The 16,028-nt window shown below is 42.1% G+C and overlaps 1 long non-coding RNA gene across 1 annotated transcript in view; it reads right to left on the reverse strand.

Annotated features, from left to right (window-relative positions):
- Positions 1–4,426: 4,426 nt before the first annotated feature.
- The window catches only part of LOC124901011 (uncharacterized), a 52,477-nt gene continuing 40,875 nt past the window's right edge, over positions 4,427–16,028 (reverse strand). Inside the window, exon 2 of the long non-coding RNA XR_007058836.1 lies at positions 4,427–4,750. This is a non-coding gene — a long non-coding RNA (uncharacterized LOC124901011). The remainder of the gene's footprint in view (positions 4,751–16,028) is intronic.

The following is a 16,028-nucleotide window of genomic DNA, read 5'->3' on the forward strand; positions in this document are numbered from 1 at the left end:
TATACTATATATAATATAGTATATTTATTATATAATACTATATATTATATATAGTATTATATTATATAATACTATATATTATATATAGTATTATATTATATAATATATATTATATATAGTATATATATTAGTATATATACTAAGTATATATACTAGTATATATACTAAGTATATATACTATATATTATATATATAAAAACATACATATAGGCTGGTGCAGTGGCTCACTTGGACAAGTTTTATATATATGTATGTTTATTGTATATATGTGTATATATGTGTATATTATTTTATATACATTTATATATTTATATTCATATATAATAATTATATATATATATAATAGGAGGTTGAAACTGCAGGGAACCGTGATCATGCCACTGCACTCCTGTCTGGGCAACAGAGTGAGACACTGTCTCAAAAAAATAAATAAATAAATAAATATTTAAAAAGAACCCAGGGCTGGGCACGGTGGCTCATGCCTGTAATCCCAGCACAACACTTTGGGAGGCCGAGGGGGGCAGAACACCTGAGGTCAGGAGTTCGAGACCAGCCTGGTCAACATGGAGAAACCCCGACTCTACTAAAAACGAAAAATACAAAAAAAATTAGCTGGGCGTGTTAGTGGGAGCCTGTAATCCCAGCTACTCAGGAGGCTGAGGCAGGAGAATCGCTTGAACCTGGGAGGCGGAGGTTGCAGTGAGTCGAGATCGTGCCATTGCACTCCAGCCTGGGAGACAAGAGGGAAACTTTGTCTCAAAACAAAAAGAGGCCGGGCGTGGTGGCTCACGCCTGTAATCCCAGCACTTTGGGAGGCCGAGGCAGGCGGATCACGAGGTCAGGAGATCAAGACCATCCTGGCTAACATGGTGAAATCTCGTCTCTACTAAAAATACAAAAAATTGCCAGGCGCGGTGGCGGGTGCCTGTAGTCCCAGCTACTCGGGAGGCTAAGGCAGGAGAATGGCGTTAACCCGGGAGGCAGAGCTTGCAGTGAGCCGAGATTGCGCCACTGCACTCCAGCCTGGGGGACAGAGCCAGACTCTGTCTCAAAAAAAAAAAAAAAAAAAAAAAATCGAAAAATTAGCTGGGCCTGGTGGCGGGCGCCTATAGTCCCAGCTACTCGGGAGGCTGAGCCAGGAGAATGGCGTGAACCTGGGAGGCAGGGCTTGCAGTGAGCCGAGGTTGAGCCACCGCACTACAGCCTGGGCAACAGAGCGAGACTCCGTCTCAAAAAGAACAAAAGAAAAGAAAGGAAAGGAAAGGAAAGGAAGGGAAGGGAAGGGAAGGGAAGGGAAGGGAAGGGAAGGGAAGGGAAGGGAAGGGAAGGGAAGGGAAGGGAAGGGAAGGGAAGGGAAGGGAAGGGAAGGGAAGGGAAGGGAAGGGAAGGAAAGGAAGGGAAGGGAAGGGAAGGGAAGGGAAGGGAAGGGAAGGGAAGGGAAGGGAAGGGAAGGGAAGGGAAGGGAAGGGAAGGGAAGGGAAGGGAAGGGAAGGGAAGGGAAGGGAAGGGAAACCGACTACCACATGTTCTCATTTATAAGTGGGAGCTAAATGATGACAAATCGTGAAAACAAAGAAGTCAGCAACAGACACTGGGGCTTCCTTAAGGATGGAGGGTGGGAGCCAGGAGGGGGGCAGAAAAAATAACTATTGGTTAGTAAGTTTAATACCTGCGTGGTGAAATAATCTGTACAACAAACCCTCGTGACACAAGTTTACCTATATAACAAACCTACACATGTACCCCTAAACCTAAAATAAATTAAAAAAATAAAACCACTTAAAAAAGTCACAATCCCCAGGAAAACAAAAAGCTACACATCTGGAGAATCTAGTACCCCAAGATTAATTATACAATGTGGTAGAAAGTGGTGCTAAGAACTATTAAGCTGATTTTAATAAAAAGGGCAAATATCTCTGATTCCATTTTTTCCAATAAATTCCTATAAGCAGGTGAAAGAACACAGTACACTTAGTTTCCTTGTGTTAAGAAAGAGCTTCCTTTTTTTTCTTTTTAGAATCTTTGAGCCACTACTGTGATTAAAATAGCACTGTATACTGTTTTGTTTTTGTCGTTCAAGAGAAATGTAAATAATGCATTATCAAAGTATCTAAATATCTGAAACAACTGTTGATATGCTGACAGATTATGTGGATGAAAATAAGCCAGTCTAAATGTAAATAAATTAATAAAATATGTAAGAACAATTAAAACTGGCCTTTAATGTTGAGATATTGTTTGAGAAATAAGAATATGAGATTACATATATATATAGTAGTCTCTGCTTGACTCATAAAATTAGAGAACCCTACAGCTCTCCAAGCCCAGATATCTGTGGGCTCTCTGCTGTCCACAGTACAAAGAATCTGGCATGTACATTATGCAAGAGTGGAAACCAAGCCCAAACAGATCAGGGAAATAGTACTGTTTAAATTGTCATGCCAGCAATAGGACAACTGAAAATGACACCCCCACAGCATTGTTTTCTCTGCACAGTGAATTTCACAAGTGCTCTCTCATAGAGGGAGACATATATGCCTGCAGCTTCCTCCTCCTCTGGGCCTCTCTCTGAGTGTAATAAAGGAAAGAAGAGAGAGAAGCAGATCTGTTAGGTCTCCATGAGGCAGGCTTGTCAGATATCCATGATACCAGGCCAGCGGGTACTGTGGCAAAATCACACTGTGGGCCAACAAGGGAGATAACTAACCAATTGCCTTCTAAGGCAGTCTGCCTTGCAAATGGTCTTGAAGTTGTGAACAGAAGCCCTAGGGAGTTGCAATGGCCAAGTCCTGGCTTTAGATTAGCTAGCTGAGGAAGAAGGAGCCCTGAAGTGTTAATGACAATCTACTCCACCCACTCACCAGCTACTGGCCCTCCTCAGCCTCTCTTTCCTCTCTGTTTCTTTCTCTCACAGTCTTGACCATGGATTTCTACCTTTGCACTTTCCTTTTCTAAGTTTTCTTTAGAAACCAAAATGGGGAGGGTGAAAAAGATGATCTTAGGCAGAGATGAAAAAGTTAGTTTAGTGGCAGAAAAGAACAATAAACTAAAGGAAATGGAATAATTGAGAAAGAGCCAAATAAAGAGAATAGCCATTATGGACTGAATTGTGGTTCCTTAACAACTCAAAATCAGGTGCTCTTATAGAGAAAAGAAATGCCTCCTTTTGGCAGAAAAATCAGTAACTCACTATTGCACTGTTTATTGCACAATTTATCATCAGTGGAACTTATGAGTTAACACAGGACATTTGGCACTTTAGGTCCTGTTAGTCCAGAATCCCAGCATGTTGGACTATGGAAATATTTTTACTAGAGTCACAAAGGGTTAAGCATGGAATTAAAAAGAAAAGGGAAGAGAGCCAAGTACAGTGGCTCACATCTGTAATTCCAGCTATTCAGAAGGGTCCCTTGAGCTCAGGAGTTCAAACCCAGCCTGGGCAACACAGTGAGACCCTGTCTCTAAAAAATAAAGGGAAGGGAAGACATATGGAATGAAAACAGCATTGCTGAAATTCATTTTTATTAAATAACCCAACATTTTTAAATGGGGATATGACAATAAAATATTCTGGCTGAGAGGGGCTAAGGAGTGCTGTGTTAAAAACAGTGACTTCTGGCCGGGCACGGTGGCTCACGCCTGTAATCCCAGCACTTTGGGAGGCCGGGGCAGATGGATTACCTGAGGTCAGGAGTTCGAGACCAGCCTGGCCAACATGGTGAAATCCTGTCTCTACTAAAAATACAAAAATTAGTCAGGTGTGGTGGCACATGCCTGTAGTCCCAGCTACTCAGGAGGCTGAAGCAGGAGAACTGCTTGAACCCAGGAGGTGGAGGTTGCAGGGAACTGAGACTGTGTCACTGCATTCCAGCCTGGGGCAACAGAGTAAGACTCTGTCTCAAAAACAACCAACCAACCAACAACAAAAAAAACAGTAACTTCCTTTTCTCAGAAAAGGGAATTTGTGTCAGTGAATGGTTCCTATGGTCCATTTATCAGAAGAGATTCAATTGTAAAGACTCAGAAAAGAGGCCTCTCAATTATCTTTAGACTAAAGGAACAGTGATTAATTCTGAGACATTACAGATGGATGTGTGAGTAAACAAACGTGGGCAGGAGGAAGGTTAAGAAATGCTACCGCTGCTATTATGCCTGGCGTATAATTTTTTTCTTCTAGAGCTAATCATCCTAGCATCAAAAACAAAAGCTGAGGGATTAAGCTGTGTTCCAAGAACAGTTTTGATAATATTAATTACGTTGGTAAATAAACGCAGAAACAACAAACAAAAATAAATCAAGCCATTTTTCAGCTCCATTGAAAAGGCAGCATTTGCCAGATGGAAAAGGTCTCAGCAACAGAGGAAAAATTGCTTTCAATCTTCTAAAGAAAGTCTAATCATGAAGACCAAAGAAGACAAACTAAAAGTCTAGAATAAAGTCTTGCTTTATTCTATTTAATAAATTTTAATAAATATGGTGGTCCTTTGTAATGAAAAAAAAAAAAACACTTTAATGACTGATGTCTGTTGATTCTCTGGAATTATATGACAAAGTTATGTAACAAGAATTTGCCTCATACATCTGTGCAGTGAACTAAAATAGTGAAAAAATAAAGAAAAAGAATTTGCCTCAAACTTAGTTAGTCATTTGGGCAGTCATCAAGGAAGGAACGCCAAGACTTTTTAATAACCTGATGTCTTCAGAAGCAAAGACCAGTCAGACAAGTTTCCAGATGGAGATAAAAATAAATCTAAAAAAAAAAAAAAAAAAAAGAGATCAGCATTAAATGGATAAGATGGAGTTTGCCAACAAAGAGAAGATGAGTAATTCTTGTTCCATGTGAATTAAAAACTCACTGTTCAATTAAAAACTCAAATTATATATCTGAAAGAACCATTGGGTTAAAAATAATAATAAAATAATAAATAATAATAAAAAAATAAAAACTCAAATTAATTAAAAACTCAACAAATCAATCAAATGAATTAAAAACAACACAAACTCTCCATTATCATTTAGGTGTCTAAACATGCTACCTCATCAGATCATTCTGGATTATAAACAGAACAATAATAGCTCATACATATGATTTTCTTTCACATCAAGATGTAAAATGGTTCATTAATCTCATACCACTTTGAAGAACAGGTAGTAAAACAAGAATTTAAAGCCAGCACTACCAGTTCAAAAACTGCTAACCTAACCACCTCATTGGATTAAGGCTGAGCCACCATTTGGGTGCATTACAGTCAGTGAAAAGATCACCCGAGGTATAGAGTTCAAGACCACCCTGGCCAACAAAGCAAAACCCCATCTCTACTAAAAATACAAAAATTAGCCTGGCATGGTGGTGCACACCTGTAATCCCAGCTACTTGGGAAGCTGAGGCACAGGAATAACTTGAACCCTGGAGGCAGAGGCTGCAGTGTTCACGGCTGAGATCATACCACTGTACTCCAGCCTGGTGACAGAGACCCTGTCACAAAGAAAAGATTTTTTAAAAAAGTATATACACTGTAGGCAGGGCGTGGTGGCTCACGTCTATAATCCCGGCACTTTGGGAGGCCGAGGTGGGCAGATCACCTGAAGTCAGGAGTTGAAGACCAACCTGGCCAACATGGTGAAATCCTGTCTCTACTAAAAATGCAAAAATTAGCCAGGTGTGGTGTAATCCCAGCTACCCAGCTGTAATCCCAGCTACCCAGGAGGCTGAGGCAGGTGACTCACTTGAACCTGGGAGGCGAAGGTTGCAGTCAGCCAAGATTGTGGCACTGCACTCCAGCCTGGGCAACAGAGTGAGACTCCATCTCAAAAAAAAAAAAAAAGTATATACACTATACACTCTAGAACATTGTTTTCTAAGCTGTGGGCCACAAGTCTTAGGTCAAAAGCCATGTTCAAGTTATCTTCCTTGAAGCCATTGAACGCATCTCTTGTGTAACCATTACAGTGCAGTCTTCTCTAGCCTGGTGGTGTCAAAGGTAAAAATGATACATTAATATGCAATTAATATACATTAATATAGGAAAAGGCCATCTGAGGTCCCATTTTGAGATTCCTTCCATCCCCGGTATAGTTGGAGGTTGCATCGCAGTGGTGGTGTCTGCTAAGACAGAACTCTGGCTCTGCTGTATTCATTCATTTACAGATTCATTCATCGGTGACTTCAACGGCTGGTTTAAGGGAACATTGACCACACCCATTTTATTACCATCATTTCCTTTAGAAAATCCAGTTTCCATTCAAGCCCGCTAATCTCCAATTCCAACTAGATGATCACCTCTAAGTCACTTTTATATCAAAATTCTAGAGATACTGGCCAGGTGCGGTGGCTCACGCCATTGCACTCCAGCCTGGGTGACAGAGCAAGACTCCGTCTAGAAAAAAAATTCTAGGCTGAGCACGGTGGCTCACGCCTGTAATCCCAGCACTTTGGGAGGCCAAGGCGGGTGGATCACGAGGTCAGGAGTTTGAGACCAGCCTGGCCAACATAGTGAAACCCGTCTCCACTAAAAATACAAAAAAATTAGCCAGGTGTGCTGGTATGTGCCTGTAATCCCAGATACTCAGGAGGCTGAGGCAGGAGGATCACGTGAACCCAGGAGGTGGAGGTTACAGTGAGCCAAGATCGCACCATTGCACTCCAGTCCGGGTGACAATGCAAGACTCCGTCTCAAAAAATGAAAAAAAGAAAAAAAAGTATAGGTCAGGCGCAGTGGCTCATGCTTGTAATCCCAACACTTTGGGAGGCCGAGGTGAGTGGATCACTTGAGTTCAGGAATTAGGGACCAGCCTGGCCAACATGGTGAAACTCTGTCTCTACTAAAAATAACAAAAAAATTAGCTGGGCATGATGGTGAGTACCTGTAATCCCAGTTACTCGGGAGGCTGAGGCAGGAAAATCTCGTGAACCCGGGAGGCAGAGGTTGCAGTGAGCCACAACTGCACTATTGCACTCCAGCCTGGGCAACAAGAACAAAACTCTGTCTCAAAAAAAAAAAAAAGAAAAAGAAAAAGAAAAAAATTCCAGAGATACCATTGCATTTACTTTTTACAAACATTTCTTTTTTAGGCACTGGGCTGAACACTGGTTGGATGGTGCCTGCTTGGGCTGAGGTGGAGACAGGCTGGAGTTAGGAAGATAATTCTTATTTCTCCCAGTTGGGAAAGACCTAGAAAAGGATCCAGGATGTAGATGTTCCTAGGTATTCTCAATTTTGCAAAGCTGGAAGGTGTTACTTTATTAGATTCCCACAATGTGCCTTTCAGAAATGACAGTTAACAATTATTGGGTGCCAAAATACATACATGGTTTTTTATTTACATGCATCTAATACTGATTCTGTCCCTAATATAGAGCAGACACTCTACAAACACACTGAAACATTTGCAATCAGGTAAACTGTGACTTGCAAAGAGGTGGGAATAACTTTCCCAAGATTACACACTAGTACCCCTAACTCCCATTCTGCATGAGCTGTTGATGCTACTCTTCCACATATCCTCACATTCTGGAACCCTTCAAAATGACAGTAATTACTTTGGAGGACAGGTCCTCTATGATGTAATAAAAATAACTCTTGACTGAGAATTCTGTTCTTGTCTCAGCTCTACTAATTAGCCCTGTGAACGAGGACAAATGTCTTTACCTCACCACCTCTCAGTTTCCTCAACTAAAAAATGCTAACATGAAATGGAATGCTCTCAAAAGTACCTTTTGTTCCTAAAATTCAAAGGTGTAAGAAGTATATATTCCATGCTGGGTGTGCTGGCTCACGCCTGTAATCCCAGCACTTTGGGAGGCCAAGGCAGGTGGATCATCTCAGTTGAGGAGTTCAAGACCAGCCTGACCAACATGGTAAAACCTCGTCTCTACTAAAAATACAAAAATTGGGCCGGGCGCGGTGGCTCACGCCTGTAATCCCAGCACTTTGGGAGGCCGAGGCGGGCGGATCATGAGGTCAGGAGATCGAGACCATCCCGGCTAAAACGGTGAAACCCCGTCTCTACTAAAAATACAAAAAATTAGCCGGGCGTAGTGGCGGGCGCCTGTAGTCCCAGCTACTTGGGAGGCTGAGGCAGGAGAATGGCGTGAACCCGGGAGGCGGAGCTTGCAGTGAGCCGAGATCCCGCCACTGCACTCCAGCCTGGGCAACAGAGCGAGACTCCGTCTCAAAAAAAAAAAAATAAATAAATAAATAAAAAAAATAAAAATAAAAAAAATAAAATAAAAATACAAAAATTAGTTGGGTGTGGTGGCGTGTGCCTATAATCCCAGCTACTCAGGAGGCTGAGGCATAAGAATGGCTTGAACCCAGGAGGCAGAGGTTGCAGTGAACTGAGATAGTGCCACTGCTCTCCAGCCTGGGCAACAGAGCGTGACTTCGTCTAAAAAAAAAAAAAAAAAAAAAGAAGTATATATTCTAAATTAAGGAATATATATTTGAAATTATGGGACATGTCATAATTTAAATTATGTCTTAGTCTATAATGATGTATTTGAACATGAGTATATCTTAAAGGAAAACGCCAAGAGTTTTTGTCTGATAGAGGGCTTTAAAATACTGGCTTTAAAAAATAAATAAAAAATTAAACATTGGCTTTTAATAAAATGAATCAACTTAAAAATTATCTGGCTGGGTGTGGTGGTGTAGGTCAATAATCCCAAAACTTTGGGAGGCTGAGGCAGCAGAATCACTCGGCCAGGAGTTCAAGACCATGGGGCAATGTAGCAAAACCCCATCTGTATTTTTATTTTTATTTTTTTTAGACTGAATCTTGCTCTGTCACCTAGGCTGGAGTGCAGTGGCATGATCTCAGCTCACTGCAACCTCCACCTCTGGGTTGAAGCAATTCTCCTGCCTCAGCCTCCTGAGTAGCTGGGATTACAAGTGCCTGCCACCACGCCCAGCTAATTTTTGTAGTTTTAGTAGAGACGAGGTTTCACCATGTTGGCCAAGCTGGTCTCGAACTCTTGACCTCAAGTGATCCGCCCACCTCAGCCTCCCAAAGTGCTGGGATTACAGGTGTGAGCCACTGTGCCCAGCCCCCATTTTATTAAAAAAAAATTATCTCATTTCAGTCACCCTTTTCAGGAGGATGAGCCTAGCTCTGGCAATGTCTTGGATTTATGAAGTTCCTCTCTTGAGGCTGAACAGAGATAGGTACTTTCTGCAGTGGCATCAGGACACCCCTTGACATTGTAACATGAAGGTGGTGGCAATGGCCAGTGTTGAGGGGAAATGGAGAGTATCTGAAGGACAGGAGGTAGGAGTAAGACAGGTGGTAGCAGAGGAATGGGTGGGACCCACTGACAGAGTGACACCTCCAGCTGGCCAAGCTATCAGTGTGGACTTTGTGTATAGGAAACAAGCTTCATACGTATTGGTATGTAACCAGTTCCTTGATATGCCCATCTTGAGTATGCCCACTCAGCCCTTCTTCTGAGCTTATTGTCCCTCCTCCTCCTTCTCTTGCTCAAACTCTTGCCTTTACCTGTTTGAATCCCTGCCTACGCAATACCTTAAAGTTGGGAGTTCCTGCTTGGGCAGGAGTGGAGACAGACTGAAATGAGAATTCTGATTTCTTAAGGCTCCTAAGCTAGGAAATACCAAGAAAAAGGATCCAAAGTTTTGACATTTTAAAATATTCGCAGTTATGTGAAGTTTGATCCCAAAACTACAACAGATACCCACAGTATTAAAAGCTAACATTTATTGAGTGCTTACTAAGTGTTGGGCACTGTTTTAAAGAGCTCATATATGCTAACTAATTTTGTTTTCCCAACAGCCACACGCAATAGGAACTTTTTTTTTTTAAGAGTCAGGGTCTCACTCCGTTGCCCAGGCTGGAGTGGGCAGCCTACGAGTGCAGTGGCTCACTCGCAGCTCATTGCAGCCTTAAACTTTTGGGCTCAAGTGATCCTTTCTCCACCATGCCCAGCTAATTTTTAAATTTTTTTGTAGAGATGTGGCTTGAGGCCAGGAGTCCATGACCAGCCTAGGCAACACAGCAAGACCCTGTCTCTTAAAAAATAATTTAAAAATTGGCCCAGCATGGTGGTACATGCCTGCAGTCCCAGCTACTCAGGAGGCTGATGTCAGGGATCTTTAGAGCCTGCAAGATTCGAGGCTGCAGTGCTATGATGATACCACTGTACTCCAGCCTGGGTGACAGAGTGAAACTCAAAACAAACAAACAAACAAAAACCATGCTTTTTTTTGTTGTTCTTGTAGAGACAGGGTCTCGATATGTTGCCAGGGCTGGTCTCAAATTTCTGGGCTCAAGTAATCCTCCCACCTCAGCCTCCCAAAGTGCTGGGATTATAGGTGTTAGCTGCTGTGCTCGGCTGTTCTTGGCCCATACTAAGCATTTAATGTTAGCTCTTGTCATAGGTAGCGTTAGTTCTGCAAAATTAACTCACCCTGAGAGATGATTTATAAATGTTTTGCTGAGGAAACTTGAAAAATTTCTCAAGTCCAATCATAGGGTAGCAATTAAATGTCTGAGATAGTCCAGGACAGCCCAGCATGAGCTTCAGTATTCCAAGAACCAGGGCTCTCCAGTCTTTCTGTCAGTGTAATCTGAAGGCATGTCCCCTCACCCTAGAGCATCCTAGTGCTGTGTATTAAATGAAACACACACACACACACACACACACACACAATACCTTCTTCTAAGGATAAACAATAATTTCCAAAGGTAGCGTACTTCTAGTAAGGCATATCAAGAGTAAAAATAGCCCTTTTAATACAAGATGATCAGCACAGAGATACAGATCACAGTGGAGACGGCATGTGACATTACTGTTGAGCCATACTGGCATCTGTTAGTTGAATTGGTTCCAAGCTTCTAAACTCACACAGCTTATTATCTTGTACACATACCAAGCCAAAATGCTAAAATTGCAGTTTTTTCTTTCTTTAAGCAGCATTAGTTTCAGCAGCAAGACATCTGTCATCTCCTATGTTAATTTCTGCAAAGGAATGATCGCAAACATGAGGACTTACTAACTTCCTGTGCTGTACTCAGCGCCGAAGGAGTCAGGGGGTGGAGGTAAAAGATTTGTTCTCCAGGTTGTATGAACGACAACATTTTTGTGTGTCTTCAGAAAAATTTCAGCATTTTTTGCTATAATCAAACTAAACATTTACATGTGCATGGTTTTTCAGGTGTTGGTTGATATATTAACGTAATCGTAAAGCATGCCAAACAAAATCATGATAAGCCTACTGACTCAGAGGTGATTAAACCTCTCAATGAATTCACAATTATTTGTTTCAAATGCTTCATTTTCCTGATTAGAGAGCAAAAATAATTGGAGAAATTATCAAAACTAATTACCACTTGAAATGTATTGTATAGGCCTTCCAAAAATGAAACATTTATGAGTTGAGAACCATATTATAGTTAAATCAAATAAGAGATAGGAAGCTGCAAACATTACATTTCACCTTCCTGGGTAGTAATCTAAATCTAAATTTAGTGAATTTTAGATGAATTTTATTTAAATCAATTCCATCCTAAATTATGTGCATCACTGCAGTCATTTGAAATAGTAGACTGAACAGATTCAGAAAAGTACTACTCAGAGATTAGTAGAATGAATTTTTTATAAAACTGCCTTGATTCCCCTTGGAATTCTTTTTTTTTTTTTTTTTTTTCAGATGGAGTCTCGCTCTGTCACCCAGGCTGGAGTGCAGTGGCCCAATCTCGGCTCACTGCAAGCTCCGCCTCCCGGGTTCACACCATTCTCCTGCCTCAGCCTCCTGAGTAGCTGGGATTACAGGTGCCCGCCACCACACCCAGCTAATTTTTTTTTGTATTTTTAGTAGAGACGGGGTTTCACTGTGTTAGCCAGGATGGTCTCGATCTCCTGACCTCGTGATCCGCCCGCCTCGGCCTCCCAAAGTGCTGGGATTACAGGCGTAAGCCACCACGCCCGGCTCCCCTTGGAATTCTTAAAAAAGTAAAATAAAAATTTAAAAACTCATCTAGGGGCTGAGCGTGATGGCTCCTTCTCAAAAAAAAAAAAAATAATAATAATAATAATTAGCTGAGTATGGTAAATCCCAGCTACTTGGGAGGCTGAAGCAGGAGAATTGCTTGAAACCAGGAGGCAGAGGTTGCAGTGAGCTGGCCGAGATCATACCACTGCACTCCAGGCTGGGCAACAGAGGGAGACTCTGTCTCAAAAAAGAAAAAAAGAAAAAAAAGCACATTTAAAAAAACCCAGAAAAACAAAAATAGAAACTCATCTTGTTCTAATTCTAGAAAAAACATTAGGGAAGTAATTACTTGCAACATTTTACTTGGTGCTAATCAAGTTAAATTTTTAAAATGAGTGTATATAAGAAGAAATGCAGCTTATTGATCCTGAAGTAGATTAGGTGCCACTGATGCTGTTGAATTGAGAACTTTAGCCGGACATGGGAGTGGAGGACGAGTAAAAGATGCTGACTGGGCCTAGAGATCCCAAGGAGGAGGACAAGGGAGAGGAATGAGTGAATCCCCTAACAGTGAGAGAGCAATGCCAGCAGGTGGAGAAAAGAGTAAAGGCCTGAGAGCAGCTACAGCTCTGTGATGAGACTTCTTGTATGCAAGCGACTACTGCATGGCCCACAGCAGCTTGAAATAAATGGGCACCAGCTGCAGATAAGACAAGTGATAATAACAGCTCGAAATAAATGGGCAGACTCATTCACGCCAGCCTTCATCACCTAGTCGTCAGGATATTTCCTTACGGTTCTGAATATGACATTTGTTTCTAGTTTTATAACTATGAATTTATGTGAAACTCATGGGTTTTGATTTAGACAAGTAGCTTTTATGTAATTAGCGGTAATTCCATCTTTTTTTTTTTTTTTTTTTGAGACAGAGTCTAGCTGTGTCACCCAGGCTGGAGTGCAGTAGTGTGATATCGGCTCACTGCAACCTCCACCTCCTGGGTTCAAGCAATTCTCCTGCCTCAGCCTCCTGAGTAGCTGGGACTACAGGTGCCCACCACCATGCTTGGCTAAATTTTTTTTTTTTTTTTGTATTTTTAGTAGAGACGGGAGTTTCACCAGGTTGGCCAGGCTGGTCTTGAACTCCTGACCTCAGGTGATCTGCCCGCTTGGCCTCCCAAAGTGCTAGGATTACAGGCGTGAGCCACTGCTCCCAGCCATGATTCCATCTTAGTAAAGTTCTGTGATCTGCAAAAAAACTAAAAAAAAAAAAAAAAAAAAGAAAAATGCAAAAGATACATTACTTTTTTTTTTTTTTTGACATGGAGTTTCGCTCTTGTTGTCCAGCTTGGAGTGCAATGGCGCAATATCAGCTCACCGCAACCTCTGCCTCCCGGGTAGCTGGGATTACAGGCATGCACCACCATGCCTGGCTAATTTTGCATTTTTGGTAGAGACGGGGTTTCTCCAAGTTGGTCAGGCTGGTCTCGAACTCCCGACCTCAGGTGATCCTCCCGCCTTGGCCTCCCAAAGTGCTGGGATTACAGGCATGAACCACCACGCCTGGCCCAGAAGATATACTTCTAAGAAGTTAAATGAATTATTAATTAGCATTATGAAATTTCATCTTGTTTCCATCTTAGCCTATATTTCAAATTCATATATTTGTCTTAAAATATGCTTCAGTTTTTTATCCTAAGAAGCCATATCATGTAAGTCAATAATGAATCCATATGAAATAGTTACATGAAGTTCTAACTCAGAAAACACTCAGAGAAATTATTTTGGCATAAAGAAGCCACTCTTTGGAGGCAACAGAAATTCAGATTCATACTCTGCCACTGTTACAGAGTATGGATATTTATAAAATTTGGGTAATATGTCTTTTTATAATGTCATTTTTAAAATTATCAGCACTGCCGGACGCGGTGGCTCATGCCTGTAATCCCAGCACTTTGGGAGGCTGAGGCAGGTGGATCACGAGGTCAGGAGATCGAGACCATCCTGGCTAACACAGTGAAACCCCGTCTCTACTGAAAATACAAAAACTTAGCCAGGCGGGCCGGGTGCGGTGGCTTACGCCTGTAATCCCAGCACTTTGGGAGACTGAGACGGGCGGATCACAAGGTCAGGAGATCGAGACCATCCTGGCTAATACGTGAAACCCCGTCTCTACTAAAAATACAAAAAATTAGCAGGGCACGGTGGCGGGCGCCTGTAGTCCCAGTTACTCCGGAGGCTGAGGCAGGAGAATAGCGTGAACCCGGGAGGCGGAGCTTGCAGTGAGCCGAGATCGCGCCACTGCACTCCAGCCTGGGCGATAGAGCGAGACTCCGTCTCAAAAAACAAAAAAAAAACAAAAAAACTTAGCCAGGCGTGGTGGCAGGTGCCTGTAGTCCCAGCTACTTGGGAGGCTGAGGCAGGAGAATGGCGTGAACCCGGGAGACGGAGCTTGCAGTGAGCCGATATCGTGCCACTGCACTCCAGCCTGGGCGACAGAGCGAGACTCTGTCTCAAAAAATAAATAAATAAATAAATAAATAAAATTATCAGCACCAGAATCGTATTTCATTGAATATATATCCATTTTCTTGCCCACCTGTGAGCCTGATCAGTTTCTGACGGCAGAGACAGTCTTTTGTTTGTTCAGGGTGTGGTCTTATGTCAGATAGAATAACAGAGCAAAACAGGATGCACGTGTGTGACAAAAACAGGGGAATGCTAGCAATTTTATGAGTTTTATACTTGGTGGTGCTTCATCTTAATTTCCTGTGATTTGATGTCTTAATCTTTAATTGCTCCATTTTGAAATCAGCCACCAGCTGCAGCTAATACAGGTCACAGTAACCTGATGAGTCAGCCTCACACTCCTGAGGCCATTCTGCACATTTGCCAACAACATTCAGAGCAGACGCGACCAAAGTGTCATAACAAGCAGACTGGTCAGTTGACAAAGTTAGTTTAGAGCTGTAGCTTTCTCAAAGAAAGTGTAGACCAGCAGCATCAGCATCACCTGGGAATGTGTTAGTAATGCAATTATTGAGCCCCATACCAGACCTAGGGCATCAGAAACTCTGAAGGTGGGGACCAACAACTTAAGTTTTAACAAGCCATGCAGGTGATCCTCATGTACATTAGGTTTGAGAATCACTGGATTAGGTCAGGGGTCCCCAGCCCTCAGTACTGGTCCATGGCCTGTTAGGAACCGGGCTGCACAGCAGGAGGTGAGCCGAAGGCTAGTGAGCATTACTACCCTAGCTCCACCTCCTATCAGAACAGCAGCGGCATTAGATTCTCATAGGAGCACAGACCCTACTTTGAACTGCACATGTGAGGGATCTAGGTTGCATACTCCTTATGAGAATCTAATGCCTGATGATCTGAAGTGGAACAGTTTCATCCTGAAACCAACCCCTGCCCACTGCCCTCCCAGTCCATGGAAAAACTGTCTTCCATGAAACCAGTCCCTGGTGCCAAAAAGTTTGGGGACCGCTGGATTAGGTGCTTCTCTAATGTCATGATTTTATAGAAATTTGTGAAACATTGATTTTGTGACAAAGCTTCAAAGGCTACTTGAATAAGTAGAGTGATTAAGGAAGTGTTAATAAGACAAACCTGGACAAATTACTTAACTTCAGTTTCCTCGGTAAAGGGAGATTACTAATAGTTCTGATCTCATAGGATCTGTTGTGAGGATTCAACAAGTTAATACACATGAAATGCTCACAAACAGCTCTGGGTGTCCTAAGTATTCAATAAATGGTCCTAGGGAGGGAATTTTATTATCCTCAGTTTTCAAATGAAGGCCCAGAAGTACTAGGAAGGTAAATAATTTACCCAAGTAAATAAAAATTAGAATCCACACAAATTGCAGGCTTTTCTCCACTCTACTATACTTCCCAGTGAGGGTGGGGAGGAGTATAAACTGGAAGAAATATTCGACAAACTAGTGATAGGTTCTCCAGAGTTACTGTCCACAATTTAAGGGGGGTAAAACAGGAACTGAAGTGCTTTTTCATTTTTCTCAAACCTTAGGGATCGTTGATGCAATAGCAGAAGGAAAACATTCTTACCTCCTAAAAT

The sequence above is a fragment of the Homo sapiens genome, chromosome 5 (assembly GCF_000001405.40).
Source record: "Homo sapiens chromosome 5, GRCh38.p14 Primary Assembly".
Classification (NCBI taxonomy): Eukaryota; Metazoa; Chordata; class Mammalia; order Primates; family Hominidae; genus Homo; species Homo sapiens.